The 27,681-nt window shown below is 39.4% G+C and overlaps 1 long non-coding RNA gene across 5 annotated transcripts in view; it reads left to right on the top strand.

Annotated features, from left to right (window-relative positions):
• Positions 1-17,736, top strand: part of LINC02855 (long intergenic non-protein coding RNA 2855) — a 28,610-nt gene extending 10,874 nt beyond the window's left edge. For 2 of the 5 annotated variants that reach the window (NR_183456.1, NR_183457.1), the window contains exons 2-3: positions 6,243-6,407; positions 17,470-17,736. This is a non-coding gene — a long non-coding RNA (long intergenic non-protein coding RNA 2855). Of the gene's footprint in view, positions 1-2,080; positions 2,200-6,242; positions 6,408-14,740; positions 14,912-17,452 lie in introns of those variants that run through there. The other 3 variants (NR_183455.1, NR_183454.1, NR_183453.1) reach the window with 3 other exon arrangements.
• The last annotated feature ends 9,945 nt before the right edge of the window (positions 17,737-27,681 follow it).

Genomic DNA, 27,681 nt, shown 5'->3' with positions numbered 1-27,681 from the left:
TGATGTTTATTGTCTCCTGAAAAGTTATATACTCTCTCTCATTTTGTTTTCAATGATTCACAAGGTCTTTTTTCTTTTGTTTTTTTTTTACCAAGTTTTCCTAATCACAACTATCCAACGTGCCAAGAGAATACCTGACCCACTATTCTGATTTAATTTCTTTTTATGATGCAGATATTTATCCAGAGATTTTCTGGTCAAAAGTCACAACTTTATCATAAAGCTGATATGTGTATATCTGTCCATTCTCTAGCTGTCGTTCATTTTATAAAGATTATGCACACATATAAGTGATAAAACATGGCATATAGTTCTGATTTCATTGTTGCATATCAAGAAGTACATGGCACTCTGGGGCTGGGCGCGGCGGCTCACACCTGTAATCCCAGCACTTTGGGAGGCCGAGGCGGGTGGATCACGAGGTCAGGAGATCGAGACCATCCTGGCTAACATGGTGAAACCCCGTCTTTACTAAAAACACAAAAAATTAGCCGGGCATAGTGGCGGGTGCCTTTAGTCCCAGCTACTCGGGAGGCTGAGGCAAGAGAATGGCATGAACCTGAGAGGCAGAGCTTGCAGTGAGCCGAGATTGTGCCACTGCACTCCAGCCTGGGCAACAGTGCAAGACTCCGTCTCAAAAAAATAAAAAATAAAAAGAAGTACATGACACTCTGACATTACATACAAACAGCAACAACAACAACAACGATTCTTGGCCCCCTCTACCACTAGACATATAAAAGGTATATGAGAAGTGATTTGCTAAATTTTGATCAAAATTAGCTTTAACAGAATATGACATAATACCAAATAGGATATCATCTATCATTTTCTACATTACTCAAATATTCTACTTCCTTTTTCACTTAGAAAATTAAAGAAATATAATTTCTGTCTTTTCTTATATTTGTATGCCCTTCTCCTCTGTCGTCCAGCCCTAATTTGCTAAAGTGTACAAAATATAACTTACCTCTTTGTCCAAAATATGCTTACTATAAAAATAACAGCCAAGAGTCAAGATGCTTTTAGTGCCTATTTAATTCAGTGTCTATATTTTAAAGAGATTGGAATGGATTTTTAAAAAACAAAAACAAAACAAGTTGTTTAATATGCTCAAATTGGTTTTTGTCCCACTTTATTGTATAATATATATCTCGATCCTAATCTATTGTATCATTAAATGTACAACACTGAGCAAATCAATTTGTTTCTGAGATTCTCAATTTCCCCATCTAATAAATGAAGAATTTCTAAAAATGTCCTACTAGCTATATCTATGACCCTGAAATTTAGAAAAAAAAAAGTACTCTTTTTTTAAAAAAATGGTAATTTAACTATATCCTTTGACCCTAGTTAATTCCACTAATTTGAGAAATCAATCTAGCCTGAAGTAATAATCCAAATGAAAGCAAGAACTTGGCTGGGCACGGTGGCTCACGCCTGTAATCCCAGCACTTTGGAAGGCCGAGGCAGGTGGATCACGAGATCAGGAGATCGAGACCATCCTGGCTAACATGGTGAAATCCCGTCTCTACTAAAAGTACAAAAAATTAGCTGGGCATGGTGGTGGGGACCTGTAGTACCAGCTACTCGGGAGGCTGAGGCAGAATGGCATGAACCCGGGAGGCGGAGCTTGCAGTGAGCCGAGATCGCGCCACTGCACTCCAGCCTGGGCAACAGAGCAAGACTCTGTCTCAAAAAAAAAAAAAAAAAAAGAAAGCAAGCAAGAACTTACATGCACACAGATGTTTACCATATTGTTCTTTATAAAACCCCAAAAGAAGGAGGAAGGAAATATTTGAGGACAGGAGAATGGTTAATTGAATTAGGTGGCATCCTCAACAGAATATTTTACAGCTGTAAATGATATTTAAGAAACAACATACATTTTCTTATATTAATTGAGAAAAGCAGACTTTCATATTGTGTGTATTCTATGGTTTCATTGATGTGAAAATGTATATACATGCAGAAAATGGCTTGAAGGAATGATAGAGTTTATTCTATTTTATTAGAATGATGAGAAATATTTTTTAATAGTCCAGATCTTCTGTGATATTATTTTCATATAAAAAATTAGTTCCCAGTTTTTCTTCAAGGGGGATACTGTTTCCCTTTCTGAGAAGATAATCAATGACCCTCCAAGACTTGAGAGGAGTGACCTGAGTTTAGGAGATAGTAGAACCCACCTAGATCATGGTGAGTACTCTTGAGAAATCTAAATATGCAAATTAACTTGGTAATGGCTTTTGAATCTCTCTAGCTGATATTAGAAATGGAAAGAAGATATAATCCAAGCTCACAAGTTTACAGTTTGGAAGGGGAGACAGTTACACAATTAGCAAATCACATTATGGGCCATAAAATAAGAACTAAATTAGAGATGTATACATCACGCTGTAAGAGCAAAGAAATTTAAGAAGTGGTGGGGAGATTCTTTACAGAGAAGGGAGAATATGAAGGAATTATAGATAATACTGAAAAAAATTGGAGTGGAGTATGGGAAGGGCTTTACAGACAGAAGGAGTAGCACAAAGAAAGAAAAGGAGACTGAAACTGTCTTTATAGTATAAAACAATCAATAGTCCTGTGACTGCTCTAAGGAATCAAAAGGGAGAACCTAACTGTTAGCTAGACAAGAGTCTATTTGTGATAAGCCTTGTAATGTCATGTTAATTTAAAGTTTAGGCAATGAGTAGCCATAGACATTTTGAAAACCATGGACAGATCCCAGGAATTCAAGGTTGTTTAATATTTGAAAAACAATCAATGCAAAACCTCATTTATAATTACAATACAGAACAAAAACCACGTGATCATGTCAATAGACATAGAAAAGACATTTAACAGAATCTAACATCCTTTTATGATTTTAAAAAACATTCAGAAAACTAGAAATAGAAGAAAAAAATTTTAAATCTCATGAAGGACATGTAGGTTACTATTACACTTAATGAGAAAAGGTTGAAACTCTTCCCCTACAATCAGGAACAAGACATTGAAATCTGCCCTAGCTACTTCTATTCAACATTGTGTGGTGGGTCTAGCTGTAGAAATTAGGTAAGTAAAAGCAATACACAGCATCCCAAATGAAAGAAAGAAAGAAAACTATCTCTATTTGAATATGACTTGATCTTGTATACAGAATATTCTAAAGAATCCACTAAAAAATTACTCAAACTCATGAACTAATAATCAGAAAGGTTGTAGTATATAAAATCAATATACAATAATTACCTGTATTTCTCTGTGCTACCAATGAACAATACAAAATGAAATTAAAGAAAAAATTCTTTCATAATAGCATAAAAAATGATTAGGAAAAGACCTTAACAAAGTAGTGTAAGACTTGTATACTTAAAGCAACAAAACATTGTGTTGCAAGCAACTTTTAAATAAATGGAAAGACATCCTATGTTTAGGTATTGTAACATTTAATATTGAAAATGTAGAAATACTCAACAAGTTTATTTACAAATTTAACACAATCCCTATCAAAATCCCAGCTGGATTTTTTCAGAAATTGATAAACTGACCCTAAAATGTTTCTGGAAATCCGAAGAACCCAGAATAGCCAAAACCATGCTTACTAAGAAGGTCAAATTGAAGGACTCACACTTCCCAATTTCAAAATTTACTACAAAGCTATACTAATCAAGAATAGTGGTAATGGCACAAGAATAGCTATTTAAATAGAATGAATTAAAAGTCTACAAAAAAAGAAAAACAACAACACCACCTCACATTTGGTTACATTTTTGTTAGTTGACTTTTAACAATGGGTTATAAGATAATTCAATGGGAAACAAAGTCTTTGCAACAAATGGTGCTGGGACACCTGTATATCCACATGCAAAAGAATGGAGGAGAGCCTCTATGCCACACGTACACAAGAATTAATGTTGATTATGGATTTAATGTAAAAGCCAAAAATTATTAAATTTTAGAAGCCACCTTAGGAGTAAAATCTTTATGACCTTGGGTTTGGCAATATATTTTTGCATGCTACACCAAAAACATTAGCAACAAAAGAAAAATTAGATATATTTGGTTAAAAAAAATTTTGTGTTGCACACTGAAACATCATGATAGTGAAAAGACAACAAACGAAATGGGAGAAAACACTGGCAAAGCATATATTTGATGAGGAACTTGTATCCAGAATGTATAAGTGACTTGTAACCCAGTAATAAAATGACAAGTAGCCCAATTCTTAAAAGTTGGCAAAGGATCTGAATAGACATATCTCTAAAGAAGATATACAAATAAGCAACACATGCATGAAAAAATGCTCAACATCATTAATCTTTACATAATCCAAACCACAATGAGTTGAGTTACTTTTCCACATTCGTTGAGATGCCTCTAATCAAAAAGACAGATTAATATTAGAAAAGATATGAAGAAATTGGCCAGGTGCGGTGGCTCACACCTGTAATCCCAGCACTTTGGGAGGCCGAAGTGGGTGGATCACGAGATCAGGAGATTGAGACCATCCTGGCTAACACGGTGAAACCCCGTCTCTCCTAATAATAGAAAAAAATTAGCCGGGCGTGGTGGCGGGCGCATGTAGTCCCAGCTACTCAGGAGGCTGAGGCAGGAGAATGGCATGAACCTGGGAGGCGGAGCTTGCAGTGAGCGGAGATCGCGGCCACTGCACTCCAGCCTGGGCAATAGAGTGAGACTCCACCTCAAAAAAAACCAAAAAAACAAAAACAAACAAAAAAAAGATATGAAGAAATTAGAACCCTTGTACTTTGCAGGTGGAAATATAAAATGGTGCAGCTGCTTTGAAAAACAGCATTATTTTTGGTTTCTCAAAAGATTGAACATAAACTTCCCAGATAGCCCTGCAATTTCATTGGTATGTACTTACCCAAAAGAAAAGCTGCTTCCCAAAAAACCTGTACATGAATGTTCATAGTAGTATTATTCAAATAGTCAAAAACTGAAAACAACCCAAATGTTCAACTGATGAATGAATAAATAAAAGGTGGTATATGCAAGGCAGGGGACGGTGGCTCACACCTGTAATCCCAGCACTTTGGGAGGCCAAGGTGGACAGATCACTTGAGCTCGTAAGTTTGAGACCATCCTGGGTTACATGGCGAAACACTGTCCCTAAAAAAAATACTAAAATTAGCCTGGCATGGTGTTGCACACCTGTAGTCCCAGCTACTTGGGAGGCTGCGGGGATGGCTTGAGCCCAGGAGGCAGAGGTTGCAGTGAGCTGATATCATGCCACTGCACTCCAGCCTGGGCAATAGAGCCAGACCTTGCCTCAAAAAAAAAAAGGTGGCATATGCATACAATGAAATATACTTAGCAATAAAAAGTAATAAAGAATTGATACACGTTATAACATAGATGAATTCTGAAAACATGCTAAGTGAAAGAAATCAGTCACAAATGACTCATAATTGTATAATTCAATTTATATGAAATGTCCAGAATGGGAAAATCTACATAAAGTGAAGTAAATTAGTTTCCTAGGGCTGAAGGGAGGGAAGATTATGAAGGAGGGAGGGAGGGAGGAGGAAACTGCTAATGGGTATACAGCTTTTTTTAGGGGTGACAAAAATATTCGAAATTTAGATTGTGGTAGATGCTGCACCATCCTGTGAATACACTAAAGACTACTGAAAGTGTCCAGGGAATTGGATACTTTAAATGGGTTCTTTATATGGTATGTGAATTATACTTTAAGAAAGGTGTAATTTTTGTAATTTAATATATCAAATCATTCTGGAACTTAAATTCCATAAGGTATTCCTTTTTTTATTTTTATTTTTAGACAGAATCTCACTCTGTGGCCCAGGCTGGAGTGCAGTGGCATGATCTCAGCTCACTGCAACCTCCGCCTCCCAGGTACAAACGATTCTCACGCCTCAGCCTCCCAAGTAGCTGGGATTACAGGCACGCACCACTACGCCCAGCTAATTCTTCGTATTTGTGGTAGAGATGGGGTTTCGCCATGTTGTCCAGGCTTGTCTTGAACTCCTGAGGTCAGGCAATCCGCCCAACTCAGGCTCCCAAAGTGCTAGGAATACAGGTGTGAGCTACTGCGCCTGGCCTGGCCTCCATAAGGTATTCTTTAAAGCAATACAACAATCTTTAATGCCCATTTTATAAGGTGAGATATTACATGTTTTGCAATTATGCAAACTTAAAATGAAAATGTCTAGGTGTCAGTTTAGAAATCTGTGAAGGGATAAAAAAGTTTTTCCAAAATTCTTTTGTAGGTCGTGCCAGCAAATCCGTGTGAATGCCACTGGATTAAAAGAAGGAAGTTTAGTTGAATGGTTACTACCCTCATTCACAGGAGCAGTTATCGGCACTTCCACTGAGGCAATGGCAGTGGGAAAAGGAAGGCAAATATTTATTCACCCATCCATAAACTCATAAAAGTAGGTAATCAAGACATGCTTATTAAATAAACCTTGGAAGAAACAATGTCTGAAGCACTCCACAGTATATGGCTCATTATCCTACACAGAATATTGCCATAGGACAAGTTATTTCACGTTTAGAGCAGAAATGAAATGTGTACATTTTCACAAAATCGTAGATTTTCTTTTTAGTTTTTAACTTTCCCTCCTGCCTTAGCAATATTTCACTTTGTTCCCTAACAAGTTGTAAAGGAGACTGTTTAAAGATGGTTGTTACCTTATAGGTAGGATGTGGATGAGGAAAAAAAAAATGGGTCTCAAAGGAAAGGGACTAGATGATGGTTTTACTCAGATTATTTTTACATTGAATGTGTCAGTTCTCAAATATTGGAGACCCTGTAAGAAGAAAATTTATTTTAGAAGGGAGTGGAAGAGAGCCTTGCTATTATGACCTCTCTTGTTAGTCATGGGTAAACTCAAGGAATTTCTGACTACCCAGGGCCTACCTCTCCAATTGCAAGTCAGTGACAAAGCTCTGTTCTTCAAGAAAGCATATCAGGGGGACTTTGTTTAGGAAGTGAATCATCCCAGGGAATAGAGGTGTGGATATTGCTTTCTTAATGTGCAAGTAGGCTTGGCAAATCTGTCACTGAAGCTCTGGTATACTGCATGTCTGCTTATTTATGCTTATGACTAGCAATGCTAAGTTTTATCATTCAATCATTCACAAGGAGAGCTTAGTAGTTATTTGCATTAATGACAGGAAACATGTTATTTTAGTCAGAACGTGTGGTAAAGACTAGGATGAATTCCTGTCCCATTCTCCTAATCCCTTGCTACAGGTTTCTAAAATCCCATCATTAGAGAGCTATCCCTTTGGGCCAGGCTCCGTGGCTCATGCCTGTACTCCAAGCACTTTGAGAGGCTGAAGTGAGTGGAGCATTTGAGGTCAGGAGTTCAAGACCAGCCTGGCCAACATGGTGAAACCCTGTCTCTATTAAAAATACAAAGATTAGCCGGGTGGTAGTGATGCTCACCTGTAGTCCCAGCTATTTGGGAAGCTGAAGCAGGAGAACTGCTTGAGCCTGGGAGGTGGAGGTTGCAGTGAGCTGAGATCATGCCATTGCACTCCAGTCTAGGTGACAGAATGAGACCCTGTCTCGAAAAAAAAAAAAAAAGCCATCCATTCGTGTTTAAGAATAATTAGCCCCACTCCTAGCTTCAGCTTTACAAAGCCCTTGGGAGCCATTAATTCATTAGGCATCCCATAATCATTAGCACTATATGATACTAATCAATTAATCAATCAACTACAAACTCCTATTACTGACCACCAAGCATAAAGTTCAATCCTCATTCCTGCCTACAAAGAGTTTACAGTGTAACTGCAGAGAATAAATTACATAGAAAGCTATTGCTATAAAAATTCCTTTATGAGAGTAAAATACATAGGGAAAATATTAAAAGCTAGACTACCTAGAGACATGCTTTATCAATTCTTCCCTCTCTCATGAATTATCAGTTATTGTTTCTGTCTAGAAATATTTTTCTCATCTAAACAAATAACAAAAACCACCATCTTCCAGGATACTGCAGTCTCCTGAAGCACCACTTTGTTGTGATTTTATAGTATAAAATTTATAGAAAATGTAATCTATAATTCCCTTCAATCCACTTTTTCTAAAATTCACTCTAGTCAGATGATACAGCCCCCACCACGTTACCAAAATATCCAATGATCTGCACTGCCTTAAACCTAATCAATGATGATGTATTTAGCCTATTTGATTTATCAGTAGGCTTTGGATCAATGGTCACTCTCCCCTCTTTGAAATATTTTTCTAGCACAGCTTTTTAGGAAACCACACTTTCTTGGTTTTCCTAACTCAGTAACTGTACTTGGTTTTCTTTTTTTAGGTCCTCCTTATCTTGCAGATCTCTAAACACTGAATGCTGAAGGCTTAATCCTATCACTACTTCTGTTCTTTCTGCATCCATTTCTGGAAGATCCCATCCAATTTCATGACTTTCACTGCCATTTTTTGCTAACAACTTCCAAATTTATATGTCCCACTCAGTATGTTCAGAAGCAAACTCTAGGTCTTCTTTCCTAAACCTGTCCTAACCATCCTTTCTCTTGCTCAGGATAAATACCTTAAAGTCCTAATTGACTCATCTTGTCCTCTCGTATCCCACATCTGCTTTTCAATAAATCTGAATTGAACTACAGATTCAGGACAATCTCTTTCAAAATATTTCTAAGGTATCTTCCTGGATTGGCAAGTTGATTTTAAATTATTTATGAAAATGTAAAAGGTTAAGGGTAGCCAAGATTCTCAAAGAAAAAGAAAAATGTGAGGAGAATTTTCTACCACATATTGATTGTGATGGTTTATTTTATATCAGCTTGGCTTGGCTACGGTGCCCAGATGATCGGTCAAAGAAACACTAGTCTCGATATTGTTGTGAAGGTATTTTCTTAGATATTATTAACATTTACATTTGTAGACTTTCAATAAAGCAGATTATTCTCCATAATGTTTGTAAACCTCATCTAATCAGTTGAAGGCCTTAAGTTAAAAGGACTGAGGACTCCTAAGGAAGAAGAAATTCTGCCTTCAGACTGCCTTTCTACTTGAGACTACCACATCAGCTCTTCCCAGGATCTTGAATCTCTAGCCTGCCAGCCTGCCCTGCATATTTTAAACTTGCCAGCCCTCACAATTTCTTAAAATCTCTTGATAGATAGATATTTACACACACACACACACACACACACACACACACACACACAGTTGCTTCTATTTCTCTGGAAAACTCTAACTAATACACAAGACTTATTATAAAACTATGATATTTAAGATTGTGTGGTATTAGCACAGATAATTGTAAATAAACAATATCAAGTAGAACAGATAGTTCAAAAGTAAACTCATACATGTATGGATACTAAATATATGACAGAGATGAAATTATGGAACCACTGGAAAGAAAAGGCTTTTTAGTAAGTATGCTGGAGCAAGTTTAAACTCATATGACTGAAAATGACATTGAATCCCTATCTCATCCAATCAAAAAATCAATTTTCAATTTAACTGAAATCAATTTAGTCAATGTTCATAACTTATTGCCAAATATAAAAGGCAATCCTGTAAAACTTTTAGAAGGAAATATGGAAGACTATCTTTACCATCTTGGTGTAGAAAATTATTTCACAAAAAATTATCAAAAGACTTTTATTGAAGGGTAAAAGAATGATAAAGTTTATTAAGTTAAAATTAAGGGTCTCAATCATCATAAACTCCATTTTTAAAAGTGAAGAAATGGTTAGGTACAGTGGTTTACTCATTTACTCATTTACTCCTGTAATTCCAGCACTCTGGGAGGCCAAGGCAGAAGGATGGCTTGAGCCTGGGAATTTGAGACCAGACTGTGCAACATAGGGAGACTCTAGTTCTACTAAAAATAAATAAATAAATAAATAAATAAATAAATAAATAAAATAAAATGAAATAAAAATGAGCTGGGAATGGTGGCACACACCTGTAGTCCCAGCTATTCCAGAGCCCGAGGTGGGAGATTTGCTTGAGCCCAGGAGGTGGAGGCTGCGGAGAGCCATGTTTGCACGATTGCACTGTAGCCTGGGTGACAGAGTAAGACCCTCTCTCAAAAAAAGAAAGAAAAGCAAAAAAGGTTAGGGCACTCATGAGTTAAAGACTTTTGGTGAAAGTGCTACTACCCTGGCTGCAGAACAAGTGCATAACCCAGAGGCAAAGGGCTCTGCGCTGCTGAGCCTGCTCTTGTTTTTTCTGAGCTTCCCGAGTGGGGACCCAGGATCTTTCTCTCCCTGGCTGCTGCTGCCACTGGAGTCACCACCATGGTGGCACTGCCTCTGCAGGGCCACCTTCACCTCTGTTGCTTGCACCTATTCTTTCACCACTGTTTGCTTTGCCACCGCCACTACTGTAAGAGTTGTAGCCAGAAACCAGAATAAAGAAGAGAGTTTCTTATTTCCTCCTTCTGACTTTCAATCTTTTTCCGGTGCTTCCCAGAAAGAGCACTTTGAAAATACAGCTTACAGGATCCAAACTTCCCTAAAATACATAGCAGAGTACAGAATAAAGGGAATCAAGCTAAGAGCAAATTAATAAATAATTGGCATACTCTCTTAAAGCAAGTTCTTATCATTCTTTATTCCTCAAATTTCAACTGATTCCTTGACCCTGCCTCTGAGCCACTGTTGGTGCAGTTTCTTCCTTTTAGGAGTCCTTAGCCTTCTGCCTGTGAATTCCTACGATCCAGTATACCCTTCAAGTCCCCGTTCAGATAATGTTTTGGACATAACACGGTCCTCCCAATTTTGAAGATTATCTTTCCTGGCCCTGTTCACCCACTACATGTTCAGAGTGAACTCCTGTACATGCTAATTTAATACATAAATCTTCACAAAGAGGACTAAAAAAATAAGGCCTATTCTTTTAATGAGATTGAAGTCCCAGCTGGGCGTGGTGGTTCATACCTGTAATCTTAGCACTTTGGGAGGCCCAGGCAGGTGAATTGCCTCAGCTCAGGGGTTTGAGACCAGCCTGGGCAACATGGTAAAACCCTGTGTCTACTAAAAATACAAAAAAATTAGCTGGGCATGGTGGTGCAGCTACTGGGGAGACTGAGGCATGAGAATTGTTTGAAACCAGGAGGTGGAGGTTACAGTGAGCCAAGATCATGCCACTGCCCTGCAGCCTGGGCGAAAGAGTGAGAGTTTGTCTGAAAATAAATAAATAAATGTAAAAATAAAGTCCCTCTATATGGAGAATTAGAAAACCAAATAAGCAAATACAGTGTGTTAAGTTTTATGGCAGACGTATGAGTTATGATTAGGTTTGGCCATGTGAATGGAAAATAAATCTCAGGATCTCAAAATCACTAAATGAAGGGGAAAAGTCAAGCTGGGACTTGCTTAAGGCAAACCTGCCTCCCATTGTGTGCCTAAAAAAGATAGCCACGTACCTGTCTCACAATTTGCCCACAAGGAGACAGAGGACAGACAGAACTCAAAGTCATCCCTAGGCTCACTGAGATAAATGCATATCTGATTGCTTCCTTTAGAAAAGCTAATCAGAAACTCAAAAGAATGCAACTATTTGTCACTCATTTACCTGTGACCTGGAAGCCCTCTCCCCGCTTCGAGTTGTCTTGCCTTTCCAGACAGAACCAATGTACATTTTACCCATACTGATCGATGTCTCATATCTCCCTAAAATGTATAAAACCAAGCTGTGCCCCAACCATGTTGGGCACATGTCATCAGGACCACCTGAAGCTCTGTCATGGGCCCATCCTTAACCCTGGCAAAATAAACTTCCTAAACTGATTGAGACCTGTCAGATATTTGGGGTTCACAGCTGCACTTAAAAGAAAACCCAACATAACTTATAAAATATATAAATACATTTCTCTCTCATGTAAAAATTATTGCCAGTAGAATAGTTCTGGTCTGATAGGGCATCTCCACTAAGTTCTCAGGAATCTATAACACAGGCTGTTGAGGTGTTTAGTCCCATAGGAAATGGAAGATAGAAGCTAAGAGTCAAAGCATCACAGAGCTATGACGGACTTCAGATTTCTAATCCAACATTCGGTGTTACAGATGATGACATTCCTGTTTTTCTGCTCTGATATCCTCAATACATGGCTTCCATGCTCAAGGTCATCTCATAGACCAAGCTATAGTAGCTCGTGGATACCTAGCCAACACATCTCACAGGATAGGCCATCACAAGGAGGAACACAAAAGGGGAAGTCCTCCTCGCTGAGTCAGGTCCCTTTGGTGGCTCCCATACAGTACTTACACTCACATTTTATTGGCCAAAAATTAGTCACATGGCCACATGTAGTTGCAAAGGATACTGGGAAATATATTATTGTAGTATGTACAAAGTTACCCCAAATAAAATTGAAGTTCTGGTTCTAAAAAGAAGGGAAGAATGGATACCCATTGGCAACAGGCATCCTTGGCCACAAGCACAGTATTATGGGGTCAAAAACTCACATTGGGGAAGCCAGAGAAGGATTCCAAGAGGAAATGACTTCTGCACTCGTCCTAGTTCACCCTGATTGAGAATTACAGTATACATGTCTGTCTTCCCCACAAGACCGTGAGCCCTGAGAGCAGGCACTCTGTCCTCTTCATATCTATAACCTCTCAGAGGGGAGCTTTTTACAAAACAGAGCCTCAATTTATTTTTGATGAACTGAGATGAAGGCGATGAAGTTTTTGAAGAGGAAGAGGAGAAGGTGTGTCAGCATTGCTAAAACTCTTACTGTCTTTTATCTTCAGGGAAAAAAAATGCCTCAGGTTTCATATCACAAAGGGAGCTTACAAAAATAACTCTTTGAAACATTTGTAACCTTGTAACAATTAAAATGTCTTCTTACTAATGGCTGATCCACTTTTTACTCATCTCAATGAGCTAAAGTCCTTCCTCCCGCACTGTAACCCTAATCTCCACCCCAGCAGTCCTAACTCAGCCTGGAGCCTTAAAGAAAAGCCAAATTCAAACTCAGGTTAAATCATAGGCTTTATGTAGGTAGAAATAGTGACTCAGGTTTGCAGAAACCATGACTTGCCATCCTTTCACAGAACACAGCTCTTGGAATAGGTATGACTATAAAACCGACATTTGGACACAGGTCATTACAATAACAGATTCCCAGATGAATCACATTAACTATTTCCAGATTTATGGGGTTATCTAAAGTTGAAAATGGCAACCACCACTTAAAAGAGTTCAAAACCCAAACTAAGACAAGTCCTGACAACAGGGGGAAATTTAAGAGCAGCTGCTAACAGACCTTCTCTTATTTCATCCCATTTCTTTTAGCTGGTTTGAGATTATGCACAAAAAGAATATCTTTGTGAGATGACTACTGATTTATCCAGAAATGAAATCCAAGCTCTAACAGCTAGTTAACTTCCTATTTTGTTTCATTTTCTATGACTAAGAAATGATTCTCTATACAGATGTTAATTATAGCAAAGCTGATGGAAACTTGGCTGCCATGTTCAGACACTGACCAAGCCTGGATCTGGCTAGAGACCTGGTTCAGTTTGAACCCTAGATTATATCTTGACTCTCTGAAATGCCTCTTCCCACTTTCCAATTCCGAGACAGCTTGATAGAGGCATGCCACAGCTGCTTCAACTCCGACATTTTTGCATTATCAGTTGAGTGTGGAGGAGAGAAAGCAGACTGAACTCCTTCAGATTCTGCTTGGTAGATGTGGAGTCAGGCTGGAATGTAGATTTCTGAGGATCCCTAAAACGTGTTCTTAAGTGCTTTTCAACAAACGAGCTTCTTGGAGCTTTTTCTTATCTCTTGGGAATAAGAGATAATTTTTTCTATTATATTTCCGGTTTTCAAATGTGATGATTTGTGAGGAAGCTACAAAGCCACAAAGTCCAACTTACTGTTTAGGACAGTGGAACTATCAAACAGGACAAACTGATAAGCTCACAAAGTCAGGTAACCTAAAGATAACTAGGAGTTGCTCATTCATCTCTTCAGCATGAGAAACACTTTAAGCACAACATCTTGAGGGAGGAAAGAGACAAGCTGCCCTTAAGAACAGAAGATGCTCTTTTCTTTTGGTAGGTCTCCAAAAATCACCAGCCCAGAACCTAAAATCCATAACACCTAGGCTATTGAGGTGTTTAGTCCTGTAGGAAACAGAAGATAGAAGCTAAGAGTCAAACCATCACAGAGCTGTGATGGATTTTAGATTTCTAATCCAACATCCTTGTGTTACAGATGATTAAATCAAAACACAGAGAAATGTTTAAAATCTAGTCCCAATACAAATCACTAATGGAGAAGGATAGAGATCCAACACCAATTTCAGTACCTCAGGAAACCCAGCTATTTCTCGCCACTTTTAGCATAAACAAGGCTGCATGTCAACTGACGCACAATTTATCTGCTTTTGACTGGAATCACATCAGCTCAGTGTGGTCCATTGGTTTCTCATGGTAAGATGAAATAAGAATCAGATGACTATAAGATGGTCTAATGGAAAAAAAAAATATGAGTTTAATCTTGGCTCTATTAACCCTTAGCAAATTGGGCAAGCCACATAAAGTCTCTGAGCCACAGCTTTTTCATCTACAAAACAGAAGATGATTCTCACCTGAATTGAAAGGATTCCAGGTGAGGTATGAAAAGAAGTCAACATAGCATTTTGCCCTGTTCGTGCTCAACAAATAGTAATTATTGTTGCTGTTGTTGTTAAGTACCAGAAAGACAAATTGCAAAATTGAAGTTGAGAGGGTAACTCGCTGAATCCTTTCTCTACAGATTGCCAACTTTACAGAGAAACTGTTTTTTCCGTTTTTGAAGAAAGCCTAGCTTGTCTACCTGGGAGCTCTTATTCAAGCCTTCACTTAAGCTCTTGAATCCTCCAACGAAGTGCTGCTCAAACCTTCTTGTCCCGAATTACACTGTGTTCTTGGATACACTTGCATCCCACATACATTTATTGTGTTCTAAATGTTTCTGGGGTTGCTGTGGTTTCAAATACTTATTGCTAATCTGCAGCAGAAAGTTTTAACTAAGGTTACTAGTTAAAGGGAGGGAAGAGACATGATCATGACAGATTTTACTGTTTTATATATGGTCACAAGTTACCAATCAAACCTTATATTTTTCTTATTTATAAAATGGAATCATTATATACCCACCTCATGTTCTTCATATTTATAAAATAGGACCATTATATACCCACTTCATAAGCTTGTCATGAGAATTATAAAAACTAATACACGTTATAACATGTAGCTTTCAGTGTATCAGGTATTTAATACATACAATTATTCTTTATTCTCCAGGATGTCCTATCATAAACACTACATTACCATTAGTCTGGTTAGCTCATCCTATCATAGACACACAGATATTTTTACCTCTCTTTTCTCTGCTCTCTTTCCAGGCAGGTTTCTCCCCCTCTCCTTTTTAACTACTTAATCAGTTGCGATTAACGAACATTAAGATTCCTTTTATTACTGGCTTTTTGTTACTGGCTTTATTTCTCTTTATTACACTACCTGAACTAAACTGGTACATCATTGGGTACACAAGAAAAGGTCCCAGAGAGGACAGACTGTCAGTCTTAGTCATTTACATAATTCCACTGTTGAGCAAAAAGCCAGACATGTAATACACATTCAGTACATATGAAGAGTTAGGCATGTGACTTTAGAATCTGAAATCTTCTTGCTACCTTTGGACCTCAGACAGGTTACTTAACCTTTTTCATCTCGATTTCCTTATCTGGAAAATAGAGTTAACGGTGGAACCTTCCTCCCTGCTGTGTTGAGGATTGTGAACTGAAATTTATGGGAGGTCATTGTTTTGGGCTGAGCCCCAACAGAACGGACAAAATCAAAATGGAGCCACTTACGCTAAGATTCCACATCATCAGACCAAAACCACATTGTTTATCTGATCTTCTGAGAAATCAGGAGACAGATCATAGCCAAATTCCCACACAGGCCAGTTTTAGCCAGCATGAATGAGGAAATCCCCTCTGCTTTAACACTAATAAGGAAAATAACCAGAAATAACCTGATGTCAGCCAATCTGCTTCTTGTATTATGCATTTCCTTATTCCTGCTCAAGCTATCTGATAAAAACCAACCATTCTGCCATGTCCGTAGGAGTTCCTTATCTAAATCTTTAGAAGAAACGCTGCCCAGTGCATAAATAGCTAACAAAGGCCAATTAGATCTTTAAATTCAATTTGCTGAAATTTTGTGTGTGTAGTTTTTTTTTTTTTTTTTTTGCTTTCTTTCTTTCTCTCTCTTTTTTTTTTTTTTTTTTTTGAGACGGGGTCTTGCTCTGTCACCCAGGCTGGAGTGTAGTGGCATGATCACTGCTCACTGCAGCCACTAGCTCCCAGGCTCAACTAATCCTCCAACCTCAGCCTCAAAATCACCTGGGGCTACAGGCACATGCCACCATACCTGGCTAATTTTTAAATTTTTTGAAGACATAGGTCTCGTTGTGTTGCCCAGGCTGGTCTCGAACTCCTGGGCTCAAGTGATCCTCCCACTTTGGCCTCCCAAAGTGCTGGGATTAAAGGCATGAGCCACCATGCCCAGCCAAAATTTTGTTTTTTAATAAGATAAAATGTAAAATGCTTAGCAGGTTGCATATGTAAAAATTTTACATATTTATAGTCATTATAACTACATAACTCTTAAAGTATCACATATAATTGGCAGAAAATGCACAGGTAATTTGATATTATTTACCCTCTAGATCAAGGATTAGATGAGCTAGCTCAAGGCTTTTACAAAGAGGTTTAGATGGACAGCTCCCTCCTCTGACCCTTCACAAAAGGGCACCCCAGCCAAACCACACTTTCCTGTTTTGATAACAATGCCTTTGTACAGGCACTTTATTTCATTTTGAATGCCACTTCCTTTTCAACTTTTAGAAATCCTATCCTCCTTTCAAGATTCAAACTGAATACACAGATCATCATCATGTCTTCTGGATTCTCCAGCCACCTGCCTCCCACAGTCCCCTTCTCTCCCTTCTAAATACGTCTCCCCAACTTCCACTATTCCGTGACAACCTGCTCACACCTCCCTGGCAGCACTGAATATAACTACTTGGCTGGCTTCTATGGCTTATCTGTATTAGATTAGAGACTTCCTGTCAACCAAGTCATCTTCATTGTTTATCTCCCAGAGTAGAGAACACAGCAGGCCTCTGTTCCATTCCATTGGATACACTGGATTGATTTAGCTGGAATTGACAGCAGCTTGTGAAATCATTTGCCTTTGCTGTGTCTCACTGCCTTGTTAATTTGACAATTTAGTCTCATTACATCTTACTGGAAGTGTATTGTCAGTTTCGTTTCTAGAAATTTGTAGTTAAAACAATAAATAGGATTGAATGGGGTGGGGCTGACTTAAGAGTGATTATAAACGGATTTAAAAGCAGTATTGTAGAGACAGGCAAATCAGTACTAAGACTCCTCACCTTATTCTCGGTTTTGTAAAGTCTCTATTCTTTTTTAGGAGTGAGCTGATGAACTGAACACAAGTTTTGGTGTAATCAACAAGCTGCCTGGAATATGCATGAACTGCCCTAATTTTACAGATGCCTTTACTTCTGAAAGCATCTTCTGGGAGAGCTTAGCCTTTTCCCTAAGTTTGGATTTGAAAGCAAGCAGAATGGAAATAAGTCCGTGTTGTTCACATGTGCTTTAGTTTTTGTGCACTTAAAAGTTTTTAAAGAACTTTTTTAAAAAAAAACCTTCTAATATAAATCTTTTGTAAAAGTAATACTTAAAAGAAAATGTTTAATGATTTAAAAAAATCTTAGAGAAAAGAGCCTCCCATTACATTTTTTTTTTTCTTTTTCTGAGACGGAGTCTCACTCTGTCACTCAGGCTGGAGTGCAGTGGCGCAATCTCGGCTCCCTGCAACCTCCGTCTCCTGGGTTCACGCAACTCCCCTGCCTCAGCCTCCCGAGTAGCTGGGATTACAGGCACCCACCACCACGCCCAGCTAATTTTTGTATTTGTAGTAGAGATGGGGTTTCACCATGTTGGCTAGGTTCGTGGTCTTAAACTCCTGACCTGGTGATCCACCCACCTCGGGCCCCCAAAGTGCTGGGATTATAGGCGTGAACCACCACGCCCGGCCCTCCCATTACATTTCTAAAAAATATTTGCACAATTAAAATATCTATGTGGGCTGGGTGAAGTGGCTCATGCCTGTAATCCCAGCACTTTGGGAGGCCAAGGCGGGCAGTTCAAGACCAGGCTGGCCAACATGGTGAAACCCCGTCTCTAGGAAAAATACAAAAATTAGCAGGGTGTGGTGATGTGCAGGTGTAATCCCATCTACTCAGGAGACTGAGGCACGGATCCCTTGAACTCAGGAGGCAGAGGTTGCAGTGAGCTGATATTGCACCACTGCACTCCAGCCCAGGTGACAGAGCAAGATTCTGTCTCAAAACAAAGCAAAACAAAACTCCATGCACATTGGTATTATATTTTAATTTTTTTAAATGCATATGGACCTCCTTCTGATTTTTAATGTCTTGAAAGTAAACACTCTTATTCATTCCATATAAAGTAGTATTTTGAAATAATATCTCAATTGACATAAAATACATGTTACAATGAGAAAATTATGAGCCATATTAACATTGTGTGAATAATTGTAAATGAACTCATCACATTTTGAAAACGCCCCTTGAAGACTAGTGTATTTGTCTGTTCTTACACTTCTAATAAAGACATACCTAATGAGAGGTGACAGCATGCTGGCTGCCCTCACAGCCCTCGCTGGCTCTTGGCGCCTCCTCCGCCTTGGCGCCCACTCTGGCCGCGCTTGAGGGGCCCTTCAGCCCGCCGCTGCACTGTGGGAGCCCCTTTCTGGGCTGGCCAAGGCTGGAGCCGGCTCCCCCAGCTTGCGGGGAGGTGTAGAGCGAGAAGCGCGGGCGGGACCCGGGACTGCGCGCAGCGCTTGCGGGCCAGCGCGAGTTCCGGGTGGGCGTAGGCTTGGCGGGCCCCGCACTCAGAGCAGCCAGCCCGCAAGCCCCGGGCAGTGAGAGGCTTAGCACCTGGGTCAGCAGCTGCTGTGCTCGATTTCTTGATAGGCCTTAAGTGCCTCCGTGCAGGGCAGGACTCAGGACCTGCAGCCCGCCACGCCTGAGCCTCGTCGTCGCCCCCGCCCCGCCCCCGCCGGGGGCTCCTGCGCAGCCCCAGCCTCCCAGACAAGCGCCGCTCCCCGTTCCACGGCTCCCAGTCCCATCAACCGCCCAAGAGCTGAGGAGTGCAGGGGCCCAGCGCGGGACTGGCAGGCAGCTCCACCTGCAGCCCCGGTGTGTGATCTACTGGGTGAAGCCAGCTGGGCTCTTGAGTCTGGTGGGGACTTGGAGAATCTTTATGTCTAGCTAAGGGATTGTAAATACACCAATCAGCACTCTGTATCTAGCTCAAGGTTTGTAAACACACCAATCAGCACCCTGTGTCTAGCTCAGGTTTTGTGAATGCCCCAATCGGCACTCTGCATCTAGTTAATCTGGTGGGGACTTGGAGAATCTTTATGTCTAGCTAAGGGATTGTGAATGCACCAATTGGCACTCTCTATCTAGCTCAGGGTTTGTAAATACACCAATCAGCACTCTGTATCTAGCTAATCTAGTGGGGACATGGAGAACTCTTGTGTCTAGCTCAGGTTTTGTAAACACACGAATCAGCACCCTGTCAAAAGGGACCAATCAGCTCTCTGTAAAACAGACCAATCCACTCTCTGTAAAATGGACCAATCAGCAGGATGTGGGTAGGGCCAGATAAGAGAATAAAAGCAGGCTGCGCAAGCCAGCAGTGGCAAACTGCTCTGGTCCCCTTCCACTGTGGAAAGTTTGTTCTTTCGCTCTGCAGTAAATCTTGCTGCTGTTCAGTCTTTGGATCCACACTGCTTTTATGAGCTGTAACACTCACCGTGAAGGTCTGCAGCTTCACTCCTGAAACCAGCGAGACCATGAACCCACCGGGAGGAACGAACAACTCCAGACGCACCACCTTAAGAGCTGTAACACCGAGAAGGTCTGCAGCTTCACTCCTGAGCCAGCAAGACCACGAACCCACCAGAAGGAAGAAACTCCGTACACATCCGAATATCAGAAGGAACGAACTCCTGAAACGTCGCCTTTAAGAACTATAACACTCACTGCGAGGGTCCATGGCTTCATTCTTGAAGTCAGTGAGACCAAGAACCCACCAGACACACTAAGACTAGGTAATTTATAAAGGGAAGAGGTTTAATTGACTCACACTTCCACATCGCTGGGGAGACCTCACAATCATGGTAAAAGGTGAATGAGGAGCAAAGTCCTGTCTTACATGGTGGCAGGGAAGAGAGCTTGTACAGCGAGCTCTCATTTGTAAAAGCCTCAGATCTTATGAGACTTACTCACTACCAGGAGAACAGTATGGGAGAAACCACCCCCATGATTCAGTTATCTGCATGTGGCCCCGTCCTTGCCATGTGGGGATTATTACAATTCAAGGTGAGATTTGGCTGGGGACACAGCCAAACCATATTAACTAATGCACTGCATGAGTCTGTACCTCCTTTGAGGTCTAAAAATTAAGCAACTTTCTCAGGGTTATACAACTGAACGTATTCTCAGTCTCTCTATGCTTCCCAATTATCTGGGATACTATTGGTACCTCTCTCATAAAGTGGTCATGAGAATTAAAATAGAAAATGAGGCCTGGTGCAGTGGTTCACGCCTGTAATACCAGCACTTTGGGAGGCCAGGGTGGGCAGATCACGAGGTCAGGAGATTGAGACCATCCTGGCCAACATGGTGAAACCCTGTCTCTACTAAAATACAAAAAATTAGCCAGGTGTGGTGGTGCACGCCTGTAGTCCCAGCTACTTGCGAGGCTGAGGCAGGGGAATCGCTTGAACCCAGGAAGCAGAGGTTGCAGTGAGACAAGATTACAGCACTGCACTCCAGCCTGGTGGCAGAGCGAGAGTCCGTCTCAAAAAAAAAAAAAAAAGAAAATGCACATAAAAGGTTTAGCACACTGCCTGATTCCTACAAATACTCAATAAACATTTCTTTTTATTGCTAAAAGGTATGTTAAGTTTCCACACTTTTCTTGATGTAAAGATAAGAAATGGGTGCCGTCCTTTCTCCTTTATTTAGAAGAAACAAGCTGAAAGAATTAAAAATATCTTCTAACTATTGATGGCAGGAAGTTGGGCACTCAAAGCAAATAAAAATTATGTTTCTGAAACTGCAGTTAACCAAAACATTCTATTAATTTTGACACTTAAAAGGCTAAGGATTGTAATTCCCAAATGGAGTGTGGAGTCCTACATTGATCACATAAACTTCCAGCTTGGCGCTCAGGTGGCCTAAAGGTTATGAACCAGGAGGGTAGACAGCGGCTTTGAGATGGCTATCCTGGATCTGCAACTTGAACAACCATTTTTCACTGTCTCAATCGGCCTGCTTGTCTTCAAAGCCACTTCTATTTATTTTTCAAGAGTTCAAAAGTTACTTCCTCTCTGTGTTTTCTATTTGCCCCACACACTATCAGAAGGATGAATGACCCTGTCTCAGTGTTTCCACCGCGCTCTCTTAATATTTCCGTATTACCTACTCTGAACCTACTCTCTACCTCTATCTACTATATACTACTCCATACCTCCTGCACTCTAGACCTTCATCTACTGTATATCAGCTATGTCTATTCTATACCTACTTCTATCTACAATATGCCTCTATTAGTATAGAGATTAATGTGCTCTTTATTTATTTATTTTTTATTTGTTTGAAACAGATTCTCACTCTGTCACCCAGACTGGAGTGCAGTGGTGCGATCTCAACTCACTGCAACCTCCGCCTCCAGGGTTCAAGCAATTCTCATGCCTCGCCTCCTGAGTAGCTGGGATTATAGGTGTTTGCCACCATGCCTGGCTAATTTTTGTATTTTTAGTAGAGTCGGGGTTTCACCATGTTGGCCAGGCTGGTTTCGAACTCCTGACCTCAAGTGATCCGCCCTCCTCGGTCTCCCAAGGTGCTGGGATTACAGGCATGAGCCACCACATCTGGCCTCATTATTTATTTTCTAAACATGAAAGTAGGACTATTGTATCTGACCATGTTAATATGTATATTCTTATTAGATGATGTTTTGGAGATTCAACAAAGATTGTCTTTCCAGAAGCTGGAGGACCTAGGATTTAGGTTGTTCATTAATTGTGTCACCATGAGGAGGTTGCTTAATATTAGACCTTAGTTTCATTCATCCAAAATGTTAATTTGGACTATATATGCCCTGTGATCCCTTTCAGTTCCAGAACACTATGAGTTTGTAGCATTAAGTAAATTAAAATCTGCACTTTTGTTACCTCTCTATTTCAAGAGTTAGAAGACCAGGGCTCAGAGAATTTCAGCAATGTTAACCGGACTTAGCAAATACAGCCTGGCATTTTAGAGATGGGCTCTGGAATCAGAATGCCTAGGTTGGAGTTTCTCCTCCACCACTTGCTCTGTGATTTTAGGCAAGTTGCTTAAACTTTCTGTGCCTCTGTTTCATTATGTATAAAATGGGAATAATAAAGCATATCTATGGCATATAATCTTGATATAAAGATTAAACTAACACGTGCAAAGTGTTGATTCATTCACAAGTATCAAATGTTAGCTTCATCTTACCCTGATATCTCACACCAGTTTACAAGACAGTGGGTCCTGGAACTTAGTCTCCTTGCCACACAGACAGTGCTTTTGAAACTATACCACATGCTTTCTAATATGGTGGTTTAATTAATTATCAACATATACATATATACAGTGAGATTGAGCCTGCTATGTATGCAGCACGGTGCTAAGCACTTTACTCTGTAACTCTCACAATGATTTTAATGTGAATATTACAGGTCCACGATACCTTAGGTGCAATTTCAAAATCAAAGAAGCTCCAAACACCGAAAGCATTTCAAAATTAATTGGATGACTTGAACTCCCCTAGAGGCAAAATCTGCCTTGATTGACATAAAGCTATTTGTAGACATACTTTATTCCATTTAGTGTGAATATTTATCTAATTCACTACAGAAATATTAATAATATCTTTGGTTGTCTTTCTTTAGAAATTAGAGCCTTGTTCCGTTGCCCAGGCTGGAGTGCAGTGGCACAATCATAACTGCTGGCTGGAACTCCTCGCCTCAAGCGATCCTCCTGCCTCAACTTCCTGAGTAGCTGGGACTACAGCAGCAGGCCACCATGCCCTACTAATTTCTTTTTTTAATTTTCTTAGAGAGAGGGTCTCGCCATGTTACCTAGGCTGGTCTTGAACTCCTGGTCTCAAGCCATCCTCCTACCTCCCCAGCTTCTGGAGTAGCTGGGATTACAGATGAGAGCAATATCCTTTATAATGCAGTACTGTCCCAAATCACTTGAGAATGTTAATATGCATTAGTACATTGTTAGATAATTATATGATTTGGATCTGTGTCCCCACCCAAATTTCATGTTCAATTGTAATCCCCAATGTTGGAGGTAGGGCCTGGTGGGAGGTGATTGGATCATAGAGGCAGTTTCACATGAATGGCTTAGCACCATCCTTTTGGTGCTGTTCGTGCAATAATGAGTGAGTTCTCATAAGATCTGTTTTTTGAAAACTGTGTAGCATTTCCCCACCTTTCTCTCTTTCTTCTGCTCCAGCCGTGTGAAATGGCTGCTCCCACTTTACCTTCCACCATGATTGTAAGTTTCCTGAGGTCTCTTCAGAAGCCGAGCAAATGCCAGCATTATGCTTCCTGTATAGCCTGCTGAATCATGAGCCAATTAAACCTCTTTCTTTATAAATTACCCAGTCTCAGGTATTTCTTTTCAGCAATGTAAGAATGGACCGACACAGATGATATACAGTGTTTGCACCTCATTGACTTTCTATCGTTCAAAACTTCTACATTCTCTCTTTTCAGGATGAGGGAAATGTTTAATAACTGGGTTGTGGTGATAGCTATATACCTCTGTAAATTTACTGAAGATCAACTTAAAAACAAATACATTTTATGGTATGTAAACTATACCTTAATAATGCTATCTTCATAAGACCATTAAATTGGAAAACATATATAATTAATAATAATAAGGTTAATCAGGTACACTTGTAACCTTTCAAGTTTAGTATCACCACTGGCTGTGATGTTTAGTGTTTTTAGCCTGAAGTAGGGCTTAGCTGATACAAATACTTTAGTGCCATCCACCCAGGGTTTGAATTTGTAATGACATGAATGGGACTACTGTTACAATTTTCACAAAAGAGAAAAGAAAAGACAAATATTCTAAACAGAATAGTAAAAGGAACGTGAAAAATTAAGAAATTGAAGAAACAAAATAAGTCCAAATACCATCTCTTTCCTACTTTTCCCTGAGTTATCCCACTCCATCAGAATTCATTTTCTCCCTCTGAGCTTCCACAGAATTGTATGTCTCTATAATGAAATTGAATAACTCATTCCAGTCATCTGCATCTATTACACAGAATAGGGGCCTACCCTGTACAGCAAAGACAATTTGTACTTATTTTTACATTATTCATGGTGCCTAAAAAATGCGTAAGTAGGAGTTTAATAAACATCTAAATTATATTGAACCATTGTCTCAATAAAAGTTTGTACATAAAAATGTTTTTCTTCTAAATTCCAAAACACATCTGGGTTCCAATAGTTTTAATTAAGGCACAATAGATCATTATTATCACATCATTTTATAAAAGCAGAAACCAAAAGCTGGAAGTTTTAAGTTACTTGTTTAAAATGACACAGCAGTGACTGAGTGTGGTGGCTCGTGCCTATAATCCCAGCACTTTGGGAGGTAAAGGTGGGGGACTGCCTGAGCTCAGGAGTTCGAGACCAGCCTGGGCAACATGGCAAAACCTGTATCTACAAAAATACAAAAATTAGCTGGGTGAGGTGGTGTGCACCTATAGTCCCAGCTACTCAGGAGGCTGAGGTGAGAGGATTACTTGAGTCCAGGAGGCAGAGGTTGCAGTAAGCCACGATTGCACCACTGCACTCCAGCCTCAGTGACAGTGAGACCCTGCTCCAAAAGAAAAGAAAAAATAATAAAATGATGTGGCTATCCAACAGTGGAGCTGGTATTTCAATCTATGTCTAGCTCACTTAGAACCCAAATCTTTTATCTGCTTCTCTTGAAGATATTTGCAACTGTGAGTACAATATTAACAAATAAGTCATCATGATTTAAAAAAATTCTCTGTAATAAATTAGTGTTACACAAGTAAAATTTTCTAATAGAGTTGGAAAAATTTTTAAGTTTGGGGGGTCAGAACATTATTCGATTTACTTTCTTCCCTTCAGAACCTACCTGTTCTAAAGGAATACTCAAAAGTATTGAATTTTTATTATTTTTCTTTAACTACTCTCTTTAAACAGTAAGAATTGTGTTATTAATATGTGAGCTAAACAAAACAGTCAGAAATAGATAAGATAGTAAAGAAAACACACACAAAAGAAAATAAAAATGTTTATCATCAATTCTGTTTTTCTCTTTTTATAAAGCACTTTAACAAATTATCTCCTAAAGTCTATCTTAGCAAGATGAGTTGCGTCCCTTGCCACGATGAGAGGCCACAAGATGAACCATCAGATTTAAAAGGCAATAAATATACTGCAGTCCAGTTTCCTGGGAAAGATAAAATGTTTTGAATTTGACTTCCTCTCTATCCCTAAAATTACTTCGGAAAGAAAATACTGATGAAGTCCTCATTGATCTTTTTCCTTTGTATGTTTTGTTAGTTGTTTTTTTTCTCAGAAAGAAAAAAAAACTGGCTGTGAAAAGTTGTTGTTCATTAATGAAACTCAAAAAGTTGTCAAATCCCTTTGAAGTTTAAGACAGCATCTGTTCCAGTGTCCAAAGAGAGTAGAAAATTAACATCTCCATCACATGGGTTCGAATGTCAAGTTACTGCCACCCAGAAGTTGCAGGTGCGAGGATATAGTTTTGTTTTATAAAGCATATTTGTGTGTGTGTGTCTGTGTGTCTGTGTGTGTGCGTGTGTACAAAATAAGGACCAGGTCTCAAAAAAATTGATGTTTTTAAGTAACTTGCAAACATATTAATATTTATTAAGCTAAAATTGTCTTCAGGTGGATTTTTCTCAGTTATCTGTCAAAAACTATTTAGAGTTCAGTCAATAATGATCTGGGTCCTATCACAGAAAATGAAAACTTTCTAGTGGACAACTTCACTTTACCAGTTCAGCTAATTGAAAGAAATATATTTAATAGTGGGAAGTCAGATTTAAGCAGCATATAGAAGATGCCTATATCTCTTCTCTTTCTCAGTCAAGGTTTTTAAAAGTTCCATTCGAGTATTATAAAAATAATGATAAATATCATATTTTAATTTTTCTTTTTTTGAGACAGAGTCTCACTCTGTCGCCCAGGCCCAGGATGGAGTGCAATGGCACTATCTCAGCTCGCTGCAACCTCCACCTCCCGGGTTCAAGTGATTCTTGTGCCTCAGCCTCCAGAGTAGCTGGGATTACAGGCATGTGCCACCACACCTGGCTAATTTTATATAGAGATGGGGTTTTTAATAGAGATGGGGTTTTAATAGAGATGGGGTTTCTCCATGTTGGCCAGGCTGGTCTTGAACTCCTGGCTTCAAGATATCTATCTGTCTTGGCCTCCCAAAGTGCAGGGATTACAGGACTGAGCCACTGCACCTGGTCTCATATTTTAATTTTAACTTTATATATATATATTATATATATATGCATTAATTTGTCAGTATTTTTATATAGAGCTTTTTTTTCAGTTTTTTAAGGTATAAAGTTAGGTCATTTATTTGAGATCTTTCTTCTTTTGTAATGTAGACATTTATTACTATGAACTTCTCTAGTAGTACTCCTTTTCCTATATCCCGTAAGTTTTCGTAAGTTGTAGTTTCTTTTCATGGGTCTCAAGATATTTTCTAATTCTCTTTTTGATTTCTTATTTGACCCAATGATTATTGAAGACTGTGTTGCTTAATTTATACATATTTGTAAATTTTCCAGGTTTTTTTTTTTTTTTTTTGAGATGGAGTCTCACTCTGTCACCCAGGCTGGAGTACAGTGGTGGGATCTCCACTCACTGCAAGCTCCACCTCTTGGATTCACGCCATTCTCCTGCCTCAGCCTCCCAAGTAGCTAGGACTACAGGTGCCCGCCACCACGCCAGGCTAATTTTTTGTATTTTTAGTGGAGACGGGGTTTCACCGTGTTAGCCAGGATGGTCTCTATCTCCTGACCTCATGATCCACCCACCTTGGCCTCTCAAAGTGCTGGGATTACAGGCGTGAGCCACCGCATCCAGCCCAGTTTTCTTTCTTCTATTAATTTCCAGTTTCATTCCATTGTATTCATAAAAGATATTTGATATGACTTTAGTCTTTTCAAACGTATAAAGACTTGTTTTATGACCTAACATGTAGTATATCTTGGCGAAAGATCTGTGGGCACATGAGAAGAATGTGTATTCTGCTGCTGTTGGGTGTAATGTTCTGTACTTGTCATTTAGGTCCATTTAATCTATAATGTTATTTAAGACTTCTATTTCTTTATTAAAAGCCCAGGGCTGGACAGCTCCAGTGTTGAATTATTCCAAATATTTGAAGATAAATTAATGCCAATTCTTCTCAAACTCTTCTAATAAATTGAGGAGAAGGCAACACCTTCA

The sequence above is a fragment of the Homo sapiens genome, chromosome 8, assembly GCF_000001405.40.
Source record: "Homo sapiens chromosome 8, GRCh38.p14 Primary Assembly".
NCBI classification, from domain to species: domain Eukaryota; kingdom Metazoa; phylum Chordata; class Mammalia; order Primates; family Hominidae; genus Homo; species Homo sapiens.
Note: the sequence above shows the minus strand (reverse complement) of the source record. Positions and strands in the feature narration are given on the sequence as shown.